General features: G+C 60.2%; 2 protein-coding genes across 3 annotated transcripts in view, besides 5 other annotated features; one reads left to right on the top strand and one right to left on the bottom strand.

Annotated features, from left to right (window-relative positions):
- Positions 573 to 1102: an enhancer, noted in NCBI's record as "H3K27ac-H3K4me1 hESC enhancer chr19:18905989-18906518 (GRCh37/hg19 assembly coordinates)". NCBI's record gives its function as "activates a minimal SCP1, AML or CMV promoter by ChIP-STARR-seq in primed H9 embryonic stem cells {active_cell/tissue: H9 hESC(primed)}" and the evidence as "EXISTENCE:reporter gene assay evidence [ECO:0000049][PMID:30033119]".
- Positions 4658 to 5236: an enhancer, noted in NCBI's record as "H3K27ac-H3K4me1 hESC enhancer chr19:18901855-18902433 (GRCh37/hg19 assembly coordinates)". NCBI's record gives its function as "activates a minimal SCP1, AML or CMV promoter by ChIP-STARR-seq in primed H9 embryonic stem cells {active_cell/tissue: H9 hESC(primed)}" and the evidence as "EXISTENCE:reporter gene assay evidence [ECO:0000049][PMID:30033119]".
- Positions 4977 to 13509, top strand: COMP (cartilage oligomeric matrix protein). Its single transcript, NM_000095.3, has 19 exons — positions 4977 to 5091; positions 5347 to 5432; positions 5669 to 5720; positions 6168 to 6340; positions 6985 to 7122; positions 7369 to 7443; positions 7532 to 7690; positions 7768 to 7872; positions 7963 to 8070; positions 8632 to 8791; positions 9632 to 9750; positions 9991 to 10043; positions 10136 to 10317; positions 10431 to 10609; positions 10736 to 10784; positions 11190 to 11386; positions 11919 to 12091; positions 13089 to 13228; positions 13321 to 13509. Exons 1-19 carry the CDS (start codon positions 5013 to 5015, stop codon positions 13365 to 13367), a joined length of 2274 nt encoding a protein of 757 aa, NP_000086.2. The 5' UTR covers positions 4977 to 5012; the 3' UTR covers positions 13368 to 13509.
- Positions 5237 to 5817: an enhancer, noted in NCBI's record as "H3K27ac-H3K4me1 hESC enhancer chr19:18901274-18901854 (GRCh37/hg19 assembly coordinates)". NCBI's record gives its function as "activates a minimal SCP1, AML or CMV promoter by ChIP-STARR-seq in primed H9 embryonic stem cells {active_cell/tissue: H9 hESC(primed)}" and the evidence as "EXISTENCE:reporter gene assay evidence [ECO:0000049][PMID:30033119]".
- Positions 5818 to 6397: an enhancer, noted in NCBI's record as "H3K27ac-H3K4me1 hESC enhancer chr19:18900694-18901273 (GRCh37/hg19 assembly coordinates)". NCBI's record gives its function as "activates a minimal SCP1, AML or CMV promoter by ChIP-STARR-seq in naive H9 embryonic stem cells {active_cell/tissue: H9 hESC(naive)}" and the evidence as "EXISTENCE:reporter gene assay evidence [ECO:0000049][PMID:30033119]".
- Positions 10886 to 10975: a silencer, noted in NCBI's record as "silent region_10417". NCBI's record gives its function as "represses an Ori minimal core promoter by ATAC-STARR-seq in GM12878 lymphoblastoid cells {active_cell/tissue: GM12878}" and the evidence as "EXISTENCE:reporter gene assay evidence [ECO:0000049][PMID:35858748]".
- CRTC1 (CREB regulated transcription coactivator 1) overlaps positions 13949 to 19460 on the bottom strand; it is a 98654-nt gene continuing 93142 nt past the window's right edge. For both annotated transcript variants that reach the window (NM_001098482.2, NM_015321.3), the window contains one exon: positions 13949 to 19111. In NM_001098482.2, the coding sequence (NP_001091952.1) occupies positions 18900 to 19111 (212 nt within the window). In that variant the 3' untranslated portion in view covers positions 13949 to 18899. The remainder of the gene's footprint in view (positions 19112 to 19460) is intronic.

Genomic DNA, 19460 nt, shown 5'->3' with positions numbered 1-19460 from the left:
TGCAATGGGGGTAGGGACTGAGTAAAAGGAGAATGGGGCTGGGTGCAGTGGTGCACATCTGTGATCCCAGCACTTTGGGAGGCTGAGGTGGGAGGATCACTTGAGCCCAGAAGTTGGAGGCTGCAATGAGTGAGCTATGATTGTCACTGTACTTCAGGCCAGGCAACAGAGCAAGACCCTGTTTCAAAAAAAAAAAAAAAAAAAAGGAGACTGGGAGAGGAGGTGGCACCTGCCAAAGGTCACACGGCCAGTCGGGGGGCGTCTCCTGGACTTCAAAGCTCAGAGCCCCCCATCCCACCCCTGCCTTTTGTTCCTTCTAGAGAGATGCCTCCAGTACGTCTCTCCCAGTTCAAGGCAGGCTGAGGATGCAGAGGTCGCCAAGCTGCCCTCCCCTGCCGCCCTGATGAATTCCGCAGACTGGGGGCCTACAGCCCGGCCCGCCCAGGGCAGGGCGGCTGCCTTCACAACATACTTTCCTTCTGCATTCACAAAGGCAGGCAACGGTGGGGGCGGGAGGCAGGGAGCCGGGGCGCCCACACGTCTCCTGGCTGAGCAGACGTCTGCCAGGAAGGGCCCCGGGGCCCCATCATGCAGGCACCCGTCCCTCTTCCCCAGCCTGGCCGGGCTCCTGGAACCACGGGGCCTGGTGTGGGGCTGGCTGGGGCGCCGGCCAGATGCTCTGGCCAGGAGGTCCTGGGCCGAGAAGACATCCCAGTTAATGAGGGGCTCGGGCCAGCGAAATGCTGGATTCTGTTTCTGTGGCAAGGACAGAGAGGGCGGGTATGAAGGGCTTGAGGGTCTTGCATGCCTCAGTTCTAATTCTGGCTGTGTGACCTCAGACTGTCTCTTCTCCTCTCTGAGTAAGATAGAAATAAGAACGATCTGAGGTATAAGCGACAGGCACAGGGTATAAGTTTTTTTGTTTTGTTTTGTTTTTTTGAGACAAGGTCTCACTCGGTCGCCCAGGCTGGAGTGCAGTGATGTGATCTCGGCTCACTGCAACCTCTGCCTCCCCGGTTCAAGTGATTCTCCTGCCTCAGCCTCCCGATTAGCTGGGATTACAGGCACGCGCCACCACGTCCAGCTAATTTTTGTATTTTGAGTAGAGATGGAGTTTCACGTTGGCCACACTGGTCTCGAACTCCTGGCCTCAGGTGATCCACCTGCTGTGGCCTCCCAAAGTGCTGGGATTATAGGTGTGAGCCACCACACTGGCCCACGGTGTATAAATTTCATATGGAATAAGCACGCTAGTAGCGCTGGAGCTGGGCGCTGGGCTGAAGGATTTCCATGGGTCAGCTCATTCAATCCTCTCAACAGTGATCATCCTCATTTTATGGGTGAGAAAACTGAAGCACAGAGAGGTTAAGTGACTTGTCCTAGGTCACACAGTAAGGCCATGCTCACCAATATTTGAACCCAGGCTGTGTGGCCCCCTTCCCTGCCATATCAAGTACAGAGGTGGCAGGGGTTACTAGGATTCATATGATAATGTTGGCTGGGTGCAGTGGCTGAAATCCCAGGGTTTTGAGAGGCCGAGGAAGGAGGATCTGTTGAGCCCAGGAGTTCGAGACTAGCCTGGGCAACATAATAAGACCCCCATCTCTATTTTAAAAAAAAAAAAAAATAGTAATGACATTACATTAATTATAAAAAGTAGTAATGGCCAGGCGCGGTGGCTCACGCCTGTAATCCCAGCACTTTGGGAGGCTGAGGCAGGTGGATCACCTGAGGTCAGAAGTTCGAGACCAACCTGGCCAACATGGTGAAACCCCGTCTCTACTAAAAATATAAAAAAATTAGCTGGGCGTGGTGGCAGGTGCCAGTAATCCCAGCTACTCAGGAGGCTGAAGCAGGGGAATCACTTGAACTCAGGAGGCAGAGGTTGCAGTGAGCCGAGATTGCACCATCGCACTCCAGCTGGGCGACAAAAGTGAGACTCCATCTCAAAAAAAAAAAAAAAAAATAGTAATGAACACGAATCATAGGGATGCTGTCCCGGCTCACCAAGCCCTCCAGCCTAACCTTTCTACACCAGTCCAGGCCCCTGGGTGGGAGCCCCTCAGGCTCGGAGGGACAGAGCAAACCACAGACACTCACAGTCCCGAGGATCATGGCTAGGCTGGAAGGTTATCTGGAGAATATCAGCAGGGAAGGCTTCCTGGAGGAGGGGACATTATAGCTGGACCTTGAAGGATGGAGGAGTTTGTACGAGGTGGGGGGAACAGCAGGTACAAAGGCCCAGAATGACACCTACAGTGAGTTATTCTGTAATCTGAGGCAAGTGTGGTGTGCACAGGAGGAGGGGACTGCTGCCTAGAAGGGGGATTTCAGGGCTGGCGAGATCCAGGAGGCAGGAGTGTGACCCCAGACATCCCCTTTCCGGGCCTCTGTTGTCCGATCTTGGGACACCCTCAGGAACTCCACCTTTGTAGTTCCCTCCGCCTGGAATGCCCTTCCCTGCAACTCCCCGTGGCCCAGCCATGGATAAGGCCACGTGTGTCCAAGCCCCAGCACTGTGACCAGCCTGTGGCAGGGGCCTGGCTTCCATGTGCTCCTGTCCTAGCTGTGTGCAGCATATGCCAGCCCCCAGGCCCCACTGGAGCTGTGGTTTTCCCGAGAATTCCAGTGCTGCCAGGAGCGGCCCCCAGGTGTGCTGAAGGCCAAGGAAAACAGGAGGTGAGCTCATGGCCCCAATGTAGGCAGCAGGCAGGGCAGGCACTATTGAGGACAGGCTTCATTGGAAATGCTCTGGCTGGGACCAGCTGCTTCCACCAACACTCCACTTATAGGCCTGTCTCTCTTCACGCACTCTCTGTGGCTCCCCATTACCCTCGGGAGACCACTGGAGCCCCACACCACCAGCACTGCCCTTTCACACACAGCCTCATCTCCTGCTTCTCACTGAGCCCCAAGAGCTTGTCACCTTGAGGTCAGTCCATCCAACGGGCCAGGTTGGTTCCTGCCTCAGGGCCTTTGCCTATGCTGTTTCCTCTACCTGGAATGACTTTCTGCTACCTCTGCCTGGCTGTGTCCTCCTCATCATCCGGTCCTCAGCTTGGTGGTCCCTCCTCCTCCAGAAGCCCGCCCTGACCCATCCCCTTTCAAACAGATCAATTTCCTGGGGACTCCTACCATTGTCTGTGTGTCCCGTCACAGCCATGAGCCCACTGGGCTCCCCATTTGAAGGAGAGACTGGGTCTGGCTTCTTCACCCTGTGTGCCCATCACCCAGCACAGGAGACATGACACACAACAGTCCTTGATGTTTGTGAAATAATTATTGTGTCTAGAAATGTCCCCACCTCCAAGCTTCACATGCTTCCCTCCACCAAAACTGCCCTCACCTTTTCCCTCTGCTGATCCAAGTCCTCCTTTTCTTTTATGTCTGTCTCCTTGCTACCTCCTCCAGGAAGCCCTCGGTGACTTCTCTGTAGGCTCCCCAGAAAACATATCTGGCTCTGAGTCTAGATTCACCCCTGCCCTCGGGCAGTGGCCTTAGGCCAGTCACTTTTTCTCTCTGGGCCTCAGTTTCTCTGTCTATAGAATAGACGCTGTGAGTACTGGAAGGTGGGAGTGGAGAGTGTTAACTGATTGCAGGAGGTTAAGGGGTTTTGTAACTCCAGAGTGTGGCTGGCCAGTTAGCGGTAACTTTTATTTTTATTACAGGCTGTTCCCACAGCAGCTGGAGCACAGTTTGGAAGGTATGGCACAGCCTGGACAAACAGAAGCCCCGGACCTCCCCTTGCTAGAGCCCTTTAACTTGCTCCCCTCCAGATGGGGGCCTCACACCCCATTGCGCAGATTGGAAAACCAAGTGGGCCTGTCCCCTTGGACAGGGGTTGGGGCAAGATCCTGAACGCTGTCCCCTCCTCCACCAGCCGAGGGACCATGGGGAGGGGAGGGAACACCAGCAATGAGTTGGGTTGGGGGGAGTCATTTGCAGCCCTCCAGCGTTGGGGCCAGAAGCGGCCTCCTTGGACAGAGGCAGGAAAATTGAGAGTCCCAGGTCTCAACTGCCCCTCCCCTATTTTCCATTCATCATCATAATCATCATTACTATTAATCATTAATTAATAATTATTAACTTATTACCTCCATTGTGCAAGGGAGGAATTACGCCTGGGTAATTTTTGTACTTTTAGTAGAGATGGGGTTTCACCATGTTAGCCAGGCTGGTCTCAAACTCCTGACCTCAGGTGATCTGCCCGCCTTGGCTTCCCAAAGTGCTGGGATTACAGGTGTGAGCCACCGCACCCAGCAACTTACCCAGTTTTGAAGCACTTCAGGAGGAGTGGAGGGCCAGTCAGTCTGATCCATAGTGGGTGGACCTATTTTTTCAGACGCTGGTGACTCTGTTTCCCGAAGTGTGAGCTGAGAGCGTGGCCATGGAGCCTGCCTTGTTTGGAACTGGAACTCAGGTTTGGCATACAGCAAGCACTCAATCAATCAATCAATCAATGAGCTGAATGCTATGGCTGGATCCTGTAATCCCAGTTATGTGGGGAGTATCGCTTGAGGCCGGGAGTTTGAGACTACTAGCCTGCAGGACATAGCCAGACCCGGTCTCTAAAAATAAAAATAAAAATAAAAATAAATTAGCTGGACTTGGTGGTGCGGGCTTGTAGTCCCAGCTACATGGGAGACTGAAGCAAGAGGATGCGATACAGCCACACCCCGTCACACACACACACACACACACACACAGACGCACACACACAGTGAATGAAAGTGGGGGCAGTACCCCCTGACTCCCTGCCCCACCAGCTCTCTCCACAGACCCCGGGACTCAGTTTCCCCACCATGTCGGATTCAGCCGCGGGCGACTTCGCGGGGCATTCCGGGCGGGGACTTGAACGCAGGGGCCAGCGCCATCTGTTTACCTTGAGGCTGGACGTTGGGCAGGGCTGTGGTGGGCCGTCCCTGGGGCCGGCCGTGCCTTGGGGATAAATAGGCCCCGCGGGCCTCGTGGGCGGTAGAAAGCGAGCAGCCACCCAGCTCCCCGCCACCGCCATGGTCCCCGACACCGCCTGCGTTCTTCTGCTCACCCTGGCTGCCCTCGGCGCGTCCGGACAGGGCCAGAGCCCGTTGGGTAAGCCGCGTTAGCACCCGCGCCGTGCCCACGGCCCCACAACGGACTGTAGGACCCGTGAGAGGCCCGGGATCCAGGCTGTTTGGGGCTCACGGACTGTTCGTAGGGGACGTGCCGGGCGCAGAAAGCAGGTGGCGGGACCGAGACTAGAGGAGCGCAGTGGGGCCTCGGAGGTCCGGGTTCGCTGCAACGGTGGGAGTTGGTGGTGGGATTCCCCGGCCCCATGACGCCTCACCAGGTCCCCTGCCGCCGCAGGCTCAGACCTGGGCCCGCAGATGCTTCGGGAACTGCAGGAAACCAACGCGGCGCTGCAGGACGTGCGGGAGCTGCTGCGGCAGCAGGTGCGGGGCCCGGGTGCGGGGCAGGGAGTGCCAGGGAACGGAAGGGGGTCTCAGTTCCCAGCGAGGAGAGAGGAAGTACCCGAGAAGGTGGAGAGGAGATGGGGAGGGAAGGGGGTCGGCGGGTAGGGAGTCCTTGGCGAAAAGAGGCTGTAGAAAGGGACCCCGGGGTAGAGAGAGGGGAGACCCGAGGGATGAGGAGAGGTTGGGACCCCGCTGATTCCATCCCACCCCTGCAGGTCAGGGAGATCACGTTCCTGAAAAACACGGTGATGGAGTGTGACGCGTGCGGTGAGCGCGGCGGGGCGGTCGGGAGAGAGAAGAGACGGGAGACAGAGACACAGAGACAGAGACAGAGAGCCAGGGAAAGCTGGGGAGGAAAAGAGACGGAAGGAGATGGAGGCTGACGGAGAGGTGGACGGACGAACGGGAATGGGATGGGGTGTGTAGAAACAGAGACAAAAAGAGACAGAAGCGGTGAGAGAGTTTTGGGGAAGTGAGAGACGCCACGGGGCAGAAAAGCGGGACAGAGACTCAGAGAAGAGACCGGGGAGACCCCGCGGTCAGAGCGCGCAGCCTCTGGGGCGGGATCGCGGACAGCGCAGGATTTCGGGCCGCCCCGGGGCGGGGGGTGGGGGGGAAGGGGAAGCCTCCAGCCCCGGGGCGTGGCCATGATAGGCTCTGCCCCCGGGCGAGCCACCGATCAGCCCCGCCGCTTCTCCCCCCTCCCCCCCGCAGGGATGCAGCAGTCAGTACGCACCGGCCTACCCAGCGTGCGGCCCCTGCTCCACTGCGCGCCCGGCTTCTGCTTCCCCGGCGTGGCCTGCATCCAGACGGAGAGCGGCGCGCGCTGCGGCCCCTGCCCCGCGGGCTTCACGGGCAACGGCTCGCACTGCACCGACGTCAACGAGGTGCGCTAGCCCCGACACTCCACCGCCCTGACGACTCCCTCTACCGCCCCCCAATCTCTCGCCGCCCGGGAGACCCCTTCCTCCACTGGGAGTGTTCGCCCCGAAGAGCCTCTCACCTCCGGGGGCGCACGGCCAGACTACCTCCTTACCGCGGGGGGACGCCCAACCCAAGGACCATCCCCGTCACCACCCGGGACGCCCGCCCCCACAACCCCCTACATAGCTAGTGACGCCCGCCCCGACGACTCCCTCACCGCCAGGGGTGGTCCGCCCCAGCTACCCTCCTCGCCGCAGGGGATCGCCAGTCCCAACGACCCTTCCACAGCCAGGGAACGCACGCCCAGACCCCCCGCCACCGCCGGGCACGCACGCCCCGACGACCCCTGCCCCCCTCTGCTGGGGATGCCCGCCCTCATCCTTCCTCCCCTCGCCCATGAGGGAACAGCTCTCCTCTCCTCTCCCGGTTGCGCCCTTGCCGTCATCAAGGCAAAGTCGTGCCTGACCCCTGCGACAATTGCTTCCATCTCAGAGCTCCAAGCACTGGCATATGGCCCTTGAACTTTCCACATCCGAGACACTACGAGGTGCGGCCCCCAGGGCCCAGCTCGAAGCCCTCTGACCCTCTGTGGCCCCTCCTCCCCCAGTGCAACGCCCACCCCTGCTTCCCCCGAGTCCGCTGTATCAACACCAGCCCGGGGTTCCGCTGCGAGGCTTGCCCGCCGGGGTACAGCGGCCCCACCCACCAGGGCGTGGGGCTGGCTTTCGCCAAGGCCAACAAGCAGGTGAGAGGTGTGGGGGCCCCATTTTTGGAGCAGAAGGGAAGGGGGCGTCCATTTTGTTTACCAGTAAACTCCTCTTCCAGCCTCCTTCCAGCGGGAGGGGTGGGGAGAGGAGGGGTCCGCTGCGCCAGGGCTGATCGGTTTGGGGCAGGATGGAGGGGAGAGGCAGGATGCGGAGGAAGTGTGGAGGAGGTGGGAGGTCCGGAGGTGTCTGCGTGGGGTGGTGACCTCTGAGTTCCCCTCCCCTAGGTTTGCACGGACATCAACGAGTGTGAGACCGGGCAACATAACTGCGTCCCCAACTCCGTGTGCATCAACACCCGGGTAAGGCCCGCTGGGGAGGAAGAAAGGATCGCGGGAGGTGGGGCGAGCGGCGGGCGGCCTGCGCTGACCTCCGGCGGCTCCGGCGCAGGGCTCCTTCCAGTGCGGCCCGTGCCAGCCCGGCTTCGTGGGCGACCAGGCGTCCGGCTGCCAGCGGCGCGCACAGCGCTTCTGCCCCGACGGCTCGCCCAGCGAGTGCCACGAGCATGCAGACTGCGTCCTAGAGCGCGATGGCTCGCGGTCGTGCGTGGTGAGTGCGGGCGGGCTGGGCTTGAGGCGGGGTTGGGTGGCGGCCACTCCAGGGCACCCACTTACACTCTCCCACAGTGTGCCGTTGGCTGGGCCGGCAACGGGATCCTCTGTGGTCGCGACACTGACCTAGACGGCTTCCCGGACGAGAAGCTGCGCTGCCCGGAGCGCCAGTGCCGTAAGGTGGGTGGGGGCGGAGCGGGGCGGGCTTGGGCAGGAGGGAGGGCGGGACTTCATGACCGCGCCCCTCACACCTTCTGTGCCCGCCCCCAGGACAACTGCGTGACTGTGCCCAACTCAGGGCAGGAGGATGTGGACCGCGATGGCATCGGAGACGCCTGCGATCCGGATGCCGACGGGGACGGGGTCCCCAATGAAAAGGTAGATCTACGGCTCGGCACGGTGGTTCACTCCTGTAATCCCAGCACTTTGGGAGGCCGAGGCGGGCGGATCACGAGGTCAAGAGATGGAGACCATCCTGGCCATCATGGTGAAACCCCTCCTCTACTAAAAATACAAAAATTAGCGGGGCGTGGTGGTGCACGCCTGTAATCCCAGCTACTCAGGAGGCTGAGGCAGGAGAATCGCTTGAACCCGGGAGGCGGAGGTTGCAGTCAGCCGAGATCGCGCCACTGCACTCCAGCCTAGCGACAGAGCAAGACTCTGTCTCAAAAAAAAGAAAGAAAGAAAGAAAGAAAGAAAGAAAGAAAGAAAGAAAGAAAGAAAGAGAAAAAGAAAAAGAAAAAAGAAAAGACAGAGCTGTGAGCGGGGCCTAGGGAAGTGGGATGGGGCGTGGCTTGGATGAGGGGCGTGGCCTCCGTGGTCTAGGAGGGGCGAAAGGTTCCTTGAGGAGGAGACGCGTCCTCGGAGATTTGGGAATCTGAGGAGTGTGACCTTTGCCTTCTCGACCTGATCTCACCCTTAACCCACCCTGTCATCCAGGACAACTGCCCGCTGGTGCGGAACCCAGACCAGCGCAACACGGACGAGGACAAGTGGGGCGATGCGTGCGACAACTGCCGGTCCCAGAAGAACGACGACCAAAAGGACACAGACCAGGACGGCCGGGGCGATGCGTGCGACGACGACATCGACGGCGACCGTGAGCTCGATGGGGGTTGGGGGGCGAGGAGAGGCGGCGGGCACCGAAGGGCGGGATTCGGCTCCGGGGCGGGGCTTGGCTGGTTTTGGAAGCCGGATGGGGTAAGCTGGACTAGGGCGCCCTGGACCAAAGACCATGGTGGGGCGCCAGAAAAATGCAAGCTGGGCTGCAAGGCCAGGAAAAACGCAGGGATATTTGGAAGGGAAGGTGGTCCCTGTGTCAATGCCGCAGGCAGGAATTAAGAGGACAAGAGATTCGAGCCTGGGGTTTAGGACCTGGGAGGTGACAACTTTACAGATGGGGACATAGGGGCTCAGGGTGGCACACACGGGCACCCAGCTGAGCCACCCTGGGAGTGAGAGCCCGTCCCCCTCACTAGCCTTCCCTTGGATGGGACCATTCATTCTTAAAGTTCCTGTGGGCCGGACGGGGTGGCTCATGCCTATAATTCCAGAACTTTGGGAAGCTGAGGCAGGTGGATCACGAGGTCAGGAGTTCGAGACCAGACTGACCAACATGGTGAAACTCCGTCTGTACTAAAAATACAAAAATTTGCTGGGCGTGGTGGCGCACACCTGTAATCCCAGCTACTCGGGAGGCTGAGGCAGGAGAATCATTTGAACCCGGGAGGTGGAAGTTGCAGTGAGCCGAGATCATGCCACTGCACTCCAGCCTGAGTGACACAATGAGACTGTCTCAAAAAAAAAAAAAAAAAAAAAAAAAAAAAGCTTCCATGAAGTTGGGACTCTGTTCCAGGCCAGCCTCAGGCTGGCCTCATCCTAATGAAGTCATTCTGGCCTGGTCCCAATCTTGGGGCTCTGGTCCCGTGGATTTCTGCAGGGATCCGCAACCAGGCCGACAACTGCCCTAGGGTACCCAACTCAGACCAGAAGGACAGTGATGGCGATGGTATAGGGGATGCCTGTGACAACTGTCCCCAGAAGAGCAACCCGGATCAGGTGAGGGCAGGCCAGACTCCAGCTGGGTAAGCCCTCTGGGTGAACTGCAAGTTGGATTACCCAGCCCACAGCCCAGCTTAGAGCATTTTACACTGCCAGAGAAATGACCTCTCGGTCCGAGCAGCCTGCGGTGGGGGTTTCCTTGGGGTCAGGAGGACCTTGGCTGTGCGGCTGGGTTGGGTGGGAGGCTTTCTGATTTCCTCTGTCTGATTATGGACCCCCGCATGCTGCCCTCCGCAGGCGGATGTGGACCACGACTTTGTGGGAGATGCTTGTGACAGCGATCAAGACCAGTAAGGAGGCCACCTGGGGTGGGCGTCCGGGTAGCCTTTGACAAAACGCTCTGGAGAGCTCATTGTCTCTGGATCCCACCTATCCACTCTAGGGATGGAGACGGACATCAGGACTCTCGGGACAACTGTCCCACGGTGCCTAACAGTGCCCAGGAGGACTCAGACCACGATGGCCAGGGTGATGCCTGCGACGACGACGACGACAATGACGGAGTCCCTGACAGTCGGGACAACTGCCGCCTGGTGCCTAACCCCGGCCAGGAGGACGCGGACAGTACGGCGGGGGCGGGGCCTGCGGTGGGGGCGGGGCCAGTGGGGGCTCCTGGCGCGGGGTCTACGGTGGGCGGGCCCTGACTTTAGCCCACCGAGGGGTCTCCCACCTCTCAGGGGACGGCGTGGGCGACGTGTGCCAGGACGACTTTGATGCAGACAAGGTGGTAGACAAGATCGACGTGTGTCCGGAGAACGCTGAAGTCACGCTCACCGACTTCAGGGCCTTCCAGACAGTCGTGCTGGACCCGGAGGGTGACGCGCAGATTGACCCCAACTGGGTGGTGCTCAACCAGGTGGGAGCGGGGTCCACGTGGGGGGTGATGGGACCCTAGAACCCCCACAGTGAGGCCTATGCTGAGGACAGGGTGCCTAGGGCTGTCACGGCCAGCCTGAGGCCCTCCTTTCTTTGACCCCATCAGGGAAGGGAGATCGTGCAGACAATGAACAGCGACCCAGGCCTGGCTGTGGGTGAGAAGCGGGGAGCAGCGCTATCCTGCCACGGAGCGGGCTCAGGGAGAGGGGCCAGAGAAGGGGCAGGCCCGGGCTGAGAATGGGCGGGGCCAGAAGGGGGCTGGCCCGGGCTCAGGAAGGGCGGGGACAGAGGGGCGGGGTTATATGGGCGGGCCCGGGAGGAGAAGGCGCGGGGCCAGAGGAGGGGCGGGCTCGGGAAGGGCGGGGCCAAGTGGAGGTGGACTCTGGAGGGGCGTGGCCAATGGTAGATGGGGGGCGTGGCTGAGTCCGGGCTCTGCGAGTGGGAATGGTGCAGGTCTGCAGGCAGATCGGGACCCAGGGGGCAGGTTTGGGTTCTGGGTGCCAGGTTCCGGGGGCTGGGGCTGGCGTTCGGAAAGGCCACTGCTCTCTTTCCATCCCTAGGTTACACTGCCTTCAATGGCGTGGACTTCGAGGGCACGTTCCATGTGAACACGGTCACGGATGACGACTATGCGGGCTTCATCTTTGGCTACCAGGACAGCTCCAGCTTCTACGTGGTCATGTGGAAGCAGATGGAGCAAACGTATTGGCAGGCGAACCCCTTCCGTGCTGTGGCCGAGCCTGGCATCCAACTCAAGGTGCCAGGGCCGTCCGTGCCTGACCTCTGCGGTCCTCATGCCCTCCCATGACCCTCCGTAAAACCCTTTACAGCCCTTAGAGCCCCCCAGCCCCCTAGCCTCATACTATGGACCTCAAAGCTGTCCCAGCCCTCCTCTGGGCTCCCGCAGTCCCCAAATCCTCCCAGTTCCTTGCACAAATTCTCAAACATTCTCAGGGCCCCCCAGTCTTCCTATGGACCCTAAACCCTCTCACACAGCCCTAAACTTTTCCTTAGTTTCCAAGTCCTTCTGCAGAGCCCCCCATCCTCCCAGACCCTGAATCTGTCCACGGACTCCCAAATCCTCTCATGAACCTGCAGACCACTGCTGCCCCCTGTGACCTATCCCCAAGCTGCCATTTGGCCCCTGAAGAAGGCTTCCTTGTGGGTCTCTCATCCGGATCCCCCTGGCCGCCCACCACCTGCTGCTCCCAACTGTCTCTCCAGGAAGGTGTCTAGGGGGGCTCCGGTGGCCCACGAGGTCTCTGACCACCTTTCCTGGGTATTGGCAGGCTGTGAAGTCTTCCACAGGCCCCGGGGAACAGCTGCGGAACGCTCTGTGGCATACAGGAGACACAGAGTCCCAGGTGCGGCTGCTGTGGAAGGACCCGCGAAACGTGGGTTGGAAGGACAAGAAGTCCTATCGTTGGTTCCTGCAGCACCGGCCCCAAGTGGGCTACATCAGGTGGGGACTCCACCCTCTGTGGTGGGCTGGGCTGGGGACACACAGGCCCAGGTGGGAGTGCCCTGGCCAGGCAGGGGCTGTGTGACCCTGGTCCCCTCATCTGTACGATAGGAAAGATACAGGGCAGTTAGAATGAGCCTATGCTGGTCCAGGCGTGGTGGCTCACACCTGTAACCCCATCACTTTGGAAAGCCAAGATGGGAGGATCGCTTGAGCCCAGGAGTTCGAGGCAGCCTGGGTAACATAGTAAGACCCTGTCTCTACAAAAAAGAAAAAAATTAGGCCAGGCGCAGTGGCTCATGCCTGTAATCCCAGTACTTTGGGAGGCCGAGGCGGGTGGATCACCTGAGGTCCGGAGTTTGAGACCAGCCTGGCCAACATGTTGAAACCCCATCTCTACTAAAAATACAAAAATTAGCCAGGTGTGGTGGCGGGGCCCTGTCATCCCGGCTACTCAGGAGGCTGAGGCAGAAGAATCGCTTGAACTCGGGAAGCGGAAGTTGCAGTGAGTGGAGATCGTGCCATTGCACTCCAGCATGGGTGACAAGAGTGAGACTCTGTCTCAAAAAAAAAAAAAAATGCCAGGCATGGTGGCACGTGCCCATGGTCCCAGCTACTAGGGAGGCTGAGGTCAGTTGAGTCTGGGAATTAAGGTGGCAGTAATTGCACCACTGCACTCCAGCCTGGGTGACAGAGCGAGACCCTGGCCAGGACACAGCACACAGTGTGTATCCAGCTAGAAATGGGGCCTCACCCAGTCCCTGTTTCTCAGCCTCCATTCCATGCTGCTAGCAAGCCCAGGTGCTCTGTTTAGCACCAACTATGTCCAGGGCCCTTGATGTCCACCACACCAGGAAACTGAGGCCCAAGGCAGAGGCCTCACTTGCTCCCAGTGCAGCCCAGTCAGGGGTACCCATCTTCCAGGGCTGGCCACTGAAGCTCTGAGAGGGAAGGGTCTGGCCCAGGTCCCCCAGGCCTCACCATGTCTGACCCTCAGGGTGCGATTCTATGAGGGCCCTGAGCTGGTGGCCGACAGCAACGTGGTCTTGGACACAACCATGCGGGGTGGCCGCCTGGGGGTCTTCTGCTTCTCCCAGGAGAACATCATCTGGGCCAACCTGCGTTACCGCTGCAATGGTGAGCCGAGGGCCAGCGGGCCGTGGGCGGGGAGTCTGCACACAGGCCCTGCTGGCCTTCTCAGCCCTCACCCGCCTGCCCTCTCCCTGCAGACACCATCCCAGAGGACTATGAGACCCATCAGCTGCGGCAAGCCTAGGGACCAGGGTGAGGACCCGCCGGATGACAGCCACCCTCACCGCGGCTGGATGGGGGCTCTGCACCCAGCCCCAAGGGGTGGCCGTCCTGAGGGGGAAGTGAGAAGGGCTCAGAGAGGACAAAATAAAGTGTGTGTGCAGGGAGTGGCGGCTGTGGTTTTTGCTGCATGGAGACAGTAGGGACGGGCCTCTGAGGGAGGGTCGGGCCAGGGAACCCCAAACCAAGGCCTCAGTGCTGCAGCTGCTGCTGAGTGCCAGTGGCCTGCCAGGGACTGTCCAACTGTGATTTGGGATTTGGGGAGGCCCCTGGGTCCACCTCCACGACCCACCACCTCATGGTCACAGGCCTGGATGCCAGCCATGGAAGAGCTGAGACCCCGATACAGTGTCCGCCCCAGGATTCTGGGGGGCAGGTTCCCAGTTGTCCCAGCTTTGGGGACCCCTTCCCTTGCCTGGTCTGGGGTGTGTGTGTGTGTGTGTGTGTGTGTTCGGAAGGGTTGAGGCACCTGCCAGTGCACCTGCCACGCCCATGTGTCACCCCTGAGGGAGGAGGGAGGGGCTCAGAAAAAAGAGGAAGAGCCAGTGACGAAAACGTTGGATTTTTATTACGTTTCATTACAAAGGATGCAAAGGTACAAAGACAAAAGCAGCCCTGCCAGAGGATGGGGCAGGGACGGCCGAGTGTGCCCTGAGCCGCCTGCCCCCGCCCGCTGCGGCCGCCCACAATCATGGCCCACGGGACGTCCGTGGCAGAGTATACATGCTAGGGTTGGGGGAGAGCCAGCCTGGGCACAGAGGAGCACAGGCAGGAACAGGGCTCGGACCGGCGGGTTTGCATATATCAGTGGGGCCACCCAGCCCCTAGGGGACAGTTTCCTACTCAGGGGCACGGCAGGGCCAGTGGACTTTGGCTGCCAAAGCCCTCCCTCCCCAGGCCTACTGGCCAAGTCCATGGCTAAGTCCCCTCCTGGTGGGCAGGAGATCAGAAGTTCTTGATGGCTGGGCTGGGCAAGGGTTGCCCCCAAATTCCAGAACACTTCGAGATGGGGGCCATCCCCCGACCCCAACACATGCCACCTGTCCCTGGCTCCTGGGGGTGGGGTGCTGGCCAGGAGCCCAGAAGGTGGATACAGGCTCTGGAATCATCAGAGCCAGCACCACCCCAAGGCCCAGCCCCTGCCCCCCATCCTGCCCAGGAGGAGCCCGGGGCCCTGAGACCTGCAGGTTTGAGAAAGTGACAAGAGAGAAACTGAGGCTGGGATCACGAGGCACTCACTCCTGCCCCACCCATGCCCTCAGGAACTCCCCAGCACCCAGGCCTGGGGGTACAACTTACTCCACCTCCTGCTCCCAGGGGGAGAATGGTGTCTGTGGCCAGTGGGGGTGGGTGGACACCTGTGCCACACGGAAGAGTATGGGGTGCCTGACCCCTGCCTGGCCAGGACCCTGGAAGGCCAAGGGCCGCAGGGAACAGGACACTTGGCTCAGGTGGAGCTGACGGGAGAATGTCCCAGGGACCCCCAAATCACATGCCGCAAGAGCCCCCAGGAAATGGAGGCCCCTGGTCCATGGTGAATGGGGGTAGAAAGAGACCCAGGTGTCCATGTAGCCCAGGCAGGCCTCCCAGGGTGAGTGAGGGGCCGAGTCTTGCCCCTGCTCTTAGGCTGTGTAGGGAAGGCTCTGGCGCCCGCACGCCCTGGCCCAGGGCACCACATGTGGGTGACGGGCCAGGCCCAGGGGCACATCTGTGCCATCGGCTTTGTGGCCCTTGCTCTGAGAGCCCCTGCGTCCCACCCCCACACAGAGGGCCCCTCGGCCTCTGAGACGGCTCCATCGGGACCCAGTGAAGGTGATGGGAGCTGCTGTTTTCAGGGCGAGGTGACAGAGGACCCCCGAATACCGCTGGACCTTACTCCACCAGCCTCTCCCTGGTCGGAGGGCTCCTTGGAAATACAGAAAACTCAGGAAGCAGGTCGCAGCCCGAGTTTGGAAGGATGTTTGGTTAAAAACCAGCTCAAGGCCCACCTAAGGGAGGCACCAGAGCCCCCTCTAGGGACGGGTCCTGCCAAGGCTGTTCAGGCCTGGGATGCTGGGCAGAAGTGGCTCACACCTGTAGCCCCAGAACTTTGGGAGGCCGAGGAGGGAGGACTGCTTGAGCCCAGGAGTCCGAGACCAGCCTGGGCAACACAGCAAGACCCCATCTCTAAAAAAATAAAATAGAAGCCACCCGGCCTGGCCCCCCATGGGCTTCTGGCAGGCTCCTGTCCCACCTGACCGGGCTCAGGCGAGGTCCCAGCTCACAGCCCCCAAGCCTGACATCCAAGCCCCAGCAGGAGGGATGGATGGACATGGGGGGCCCTCCTGGCTAGGGGTCCTCCCGGGAGCTTGGCCCCCTGAAGAAATCAGGCCAAACACACTGATGCCAACACTCTCCTCCCCAGAGCCGAAAACCCACAAGCAGGGCCCTGATGAGGGCAAAGAACCCTCTTCTCTGGAGGACACAGAGAGAGGCTGAACTTGGGCTACACCCTCTGCCTGCAAGACTTGCCACCCTGGGTAGTGACGTCGGCGAAACAGGAAGGTGGGGACGCCATGCTCTCAGGAGGGAGAGCCCTGGCTGAACTTCGCCGTAGGGGACCGATGTACCCAGCAGAGGGTCTGCAGAAGCCATGAGCACATGGGTGCGTGGGGAGAGCAGCCTCTAACCCAGTGTAGACCAAGCATCCGGGCCTGACCAAGGACACAGACGGCGGGTCTATGTACACGGCGCAACCTCCCCACGTGGGCCTGCCCCTCAGGAAGCGGCTCGTCAAATCACAGTATTTTCACATCACAAAGCAAAAGGCTGATTCCCTTAAGCTGTCTTGTTTCAGAAAGTCTTGGCAATTCAAGAATATGTAGTAGTGATATTTAAAAAAACCACACGTACGCACACACAAAAGGCCGTGATACAGACCCCCTGGGAGGCCCGCCCAGGTCCAGGAGGGGCGTGAATCCTTCTGGAACACAGGGACGCCTGGCTGCTGGCTCCTGGCTGGGCCCCGGGTACTCGCGTGGGCCCCACTGTCCCTGGCAAGCTCGGACCTCGGTCCACCAGGTTCTTATTGGAAAAAGAACTCCATAATGGACCAAGGTCGTCACGTTAACACAATGTCACTGTGAATCTGGCTTCAGGATGCTGAAAATGGGCCACGGGCCTGGGATGCTCCGAGGTGGGCATCCCTCCTCTCCTATCTGTCCACACCGAAGACCAGAGGACAAGCAGTGGCGCCCGCCGGAGGTTGGACGGATGGGGTATGAGGTTTCCTAGCATGGTCCTCAATGCCTTCTTTTGAAAACCGCATCCAGGCGGGTTGCTTGTAATTTTATTAAGGCCATTTTTTTTTAAGTCCTACATACAAGTCTAATGGTAATGAAACTCTCCTATGTACATGTAGTTTTTCTTAAAAAAAAAAAAAAGTCCCCGCTGTCTGCCCCCAGCCTCTGTCATGGTAAGAGAAAGGGACCTTGACCTGGACAGACCAACAGTGTCCCCCCCGCACCTTGGAACAAGACGGCAGCAGGAGCAACGTGACCAGGGAGCCTTCTCCTATGAGTGGCCACTTGGCTGCTCAGACACATGCCAAAGGCATTGCCGGGCAAAGAGAGGAAGGGATGGTTGCTAGGATCAAACCCAGCTCTGAGGACAGAAGCCAGGGTGCCCAGGACCCCAGTGAAAGCAGCAGCCATGACACTACAAATAAACGGACTCAGCAGAAGGCGCTGTCCCGGCAGGCAGGAGCGAGCGAGAGCCGCAATGCAGTTTTGGGGGGATCAGAACAGCAGTTCCTATTCCAAGAACAGCAGAAAACAAAGCCAGCCCTGATGCCTCCCTTGCAGGGCCCGTGGTATGGGGAGGGTCCAGGACAGCTCCCAAGTACCCTGTCACCCTGGTCTTAGAGGTGCTCCTGAAACCTGCCACTAAAACACACACTGCTGTGTGTCTCCAAGTCCACCTGCCACGACCCTGAGCTGCCAAGAAGGGGCAGCCAGCAGACCACGCTGCCCAAGAGAGGGGGTGTGGGCTAGGAGCCAGAGGGTAGGGTGGAGAGGGGATGAAATGCCAGTTCCACCCAGGTTCTCAGGGAGGACCGTGGTCCTCGTCTCGGGGACCCTCGCTCCCTGCCAGTCCCCCACACTCTTGGGGCAGAGAGGTCTCAGCTGCCACTGGTCATGGCATCTTCACACACACACTCTAAGGACTAGCAGGCACCTCTGGGAGAGGCTGGCAGGCTGGGTCTTTGAGAGACCCTCAATAAAAGCCAAGGCCCCTTCCCGGAAGTCTGTTCTGTGGCCCTGGCAGAGGCACCTCTGCCTACCGTGAGCTCCTGACAAGGCCCTGCCCAGCCTGACCAGCCCTTTTGTTTTGAGATAACTTGGGGTGAAACCCAAAAGCCGGACTCACTTCTTACACTCAGGTGGGTGGCGGGCTGCTTTGGGGCGCATGGCCTCCATTTCCAGTTAGCTTAAAAAATAGGTAAAGTTGGATTTCTGAAATAAAAACATGCTCTCAGGCAAGTGTTGGCTTAAAAGATTAAGCGAGTCATCTACAACCAAAATGTAACTAGAAACTAAAAGGAAAAAAAAACCACAATGAAACTCCCCTGGCCACCTCTGCCTGTACCTTAAATTAACAGCATCTATGACAGGACCGGTGACCACAGTGCAGGACAGGAGGGGCCACGGATTGTAAAGCCCCAAGAGGTAACCCCTGCCTCCGCGTTCGACCCCTCACGGGGCCTTCCGGTCACTTCCCGGCAAAGGTGGCCACCGATGGGCCTGCCTGCGGTGAGGCAGGGCTTCGAGGGGATGGAGACAGGGCGAGGAGGGTCGTGGGGGGGTCCGCCGCCCTGCATGCTCTGTCCACTTTGCGCCTGCCCCGGTGGACGCCAGGGCTCTGTGTGTGCTCAGAAATATAAAAGACAGCCGTCAAAATAGTGTTTATTTCACTTTGCGTCTGCCCCGCGCTCTGGCGCCTCCTCCCTGGGGCGGCGTGGGGCTCACTCTCTACCTGACCACGGGCTGGGGATGGCGGATGGGCTGGGGGACCGGGAACCAAGGAAGGCAGTGAGAGCTGGACAAACAGTCGGAAAATGCGCCACGGCCCACAGCCCTGGCGGACCATGCGCGCCCCTCCCCTGAGCCTGCCCGCCACGCCGGGAGCTGACACTTCCCGCATCTTACAGGGGACGGCTCAGGCCCCGGGGCTGGGGGCGAGGGAGCCAGTGCAGGGAGGGTCTGCAGGGGCGGGAGGCTCACGGCCTCCGATCCCAGCCCAGCCCTGGGCGGGCGGGTGGGTGGACGGCCCGGCTCGCGGCCTCGCGATTGGGCTTCGCGGGAGGTGGACAACCGGGGGCGGGCTGGCGGGGGGCGCTTGGCGGCATTGCAAGCTCAGAATCACAAGCTCGGCCGTTGGCGAGGGACGGAGCACGGCCGTCCCCGGGCTGGGGAGGCGCCGTCGGGACGGCTGAGCGGCAGGGTGCCGGCGTGCCCGCTCACAGGCGGTCCATCCGGAAGGTGTCCTCGGTGGCTGGGTCGGCCAGAACCATGTCGGGGTCGTTGAGCATGTGCAGTCCGTCGAGGGTCAGGGGGTCGATCTTGAGTTCGTCCAGGGGAAACTGGCTGTCGGAGTCGAAGCTGACGTCGCCGACCCCGGCCAGAGAGCTGGTCAGTTCTTTAGAGAGGCTGGGGGGGGACTCTCCTGTCACTGGGGGATGGGGTGGGGACAAAAGGCACTGCTTAGCCCTGGCTCCATCGCTCGCATCCATGTGTCGGACCAGGCATGCCCGCCGGGCGACTCTGTCCCCTGGGTATGCTGGCAATGTCTGGGGACATTCCAGCTGTCATGACTGGGGGAGGGGCCAGCACATGAGATGCTGCTCAGCACCCTACAGTGCCTGGACCCCAGAGACCAGTCTGGCCCTAGATGTCAGCTCCAGATGTCAGGAGCACCAAGGAGAAGCCTCGGGCCAAGGGCTGTGTCACTGATGCACGTCAGCATGACCTGGCGAGGGCAGGGACCTCCCCGGCTCCCTCAGCCATGAGGGCTGCTCGGC

Source organism: Homo sapiens, chromosome 19 (assembly GCF_000001405.40).
Source record: "Homo sapiens chromosome 19, GRCh38.p14 Primary Assembly".
NCBI lineage: Eukaryota > Metazoa > Chordata > Mammalia > Primates > Hominidae > Homo > Homo sapiens.
Note: the sequence above shows the minus strand (reverse complement) of the source record. Positions and strands in the feature narration are given on the sequence as shown.